The sequence below is a fragment of the Homo sapiens genome, chromosome Y (assembly GCF_000001405.40).
Source record: "Homo sapiens chromosome Y, GRCh38.p14 Primary Assembly".
In the NCBI taxonomy this organism is placed as follows: Eukaryota; Metazoa; Chordata; class Mammalia; order Primates; family Hominidae; genus Homo; species Homo sapiens.
Window position 1 is genome coordinate 20,720,375 of NC_000024.10, and position 1,416 is coordinate 20,721,790.

Here is a 1,416-nt window from a genome sequence, read left to right on the forward strand (position 1 = left end):
AAATAACTAAGATCAGAAAAGAACTGAAAGAGAAAGATATACAAAAAACCCTTCAAAAAATCAATGAATCCATGAGCTGCCTTTTTCAAAAGATCAACAAAATTGATAGACAGCTAGCAAGATTAATAAAGAAGAAAAAAGAGAAGAATCAAACAGATGCAATAAAAAATGATAAAGGGGATATCATCACTGATTCCAAAGAAATACAAGCTACCATCAGACAATACTATAAACACCTCTACACAAATAAACTAGAAAATCTAGAAGAAATGGATAAATACCTGGACACATACACCTGCCTAACACTAAACCAGGAAGAAGTTCAGGTCTCTGAATAGACCAATAACAGGTTCTGAAATTGAGGAAATAATTAATAGCCTACCTACTAAAAAAAGTCCAGGACCAGATAGATTCACAGCCAAATTCTACCACAGGTAAAAAGCAGAGCTGGTACTATTCCTTCTGAAACTATTCCAATCAACAGGAAAAGAGGGAATCCTCCCTAACTCATTTTATAAGGCCAGCATCATCCTGATATCAAAGCCTGGTTGAGACACAACAAAAAATATAAGTTTAGACCCATATCCCTGATGAAGATCAATGCGAAAATCCTCAATAAAATACTGGCAAACTGAATCCAGAAGCACATCAAAAAGCTTATCTACCACTATCAAGTCAGCATCATCCCTGGGATGCAAGGCTGGTTCAACATACGCAAATCAATAAATGTAATCCATCGCATAAAGAGAACCAATGACAAAAACAACATTATTATCCAATAGATGCAGAAAAGGCCTTCAACAAAATTCAACAGCCCTTCATGCTAAAAACTCTCAATAAACTAGGTATTGATGGAACATATCTCAATACAGTAAAAGCTATTTATGACAAACCCACAGCAAATATCACACTAAATGGACAAAAACTGGAAGCATTCCCTTTGAAAACAGGCATAAGACAAGGTTGCCCTCTCTTAACACTGTTATTCAACATAGTGTTGGAAGTTCTGTCAAGGGCAACCAGGCGAGAGAAAGAAATAAAGTGTATTCAATTAGGAAAAGAAGAAGTCAAATTGTCTCTGTTTGCAGATGACATGATTGTATATTTAGAAAATCCCATAATCTCAGCCCAAAATCTCCTTAAGCTGATAAGCAACTTCAGCAAAGCCTCAGGATAAAATTTCTTTAAAGTTCATATGGAACCAAAAAAGAGCCCCCATTGTCAAGACAATTCTAAATTAAAAGAACAAAGCTGGAGGCATCATGCTACCTGAATTCAAACTATACTACAAGGATACAGTAATCAAAAAAGCATGTACTTTTACCAAAACTGATATATAGACCAATGGAACAGAACAGAGGGCTCAGAAAAAACACCACACATCTATAACCATCAGATCTTTGACAAACCTGACAA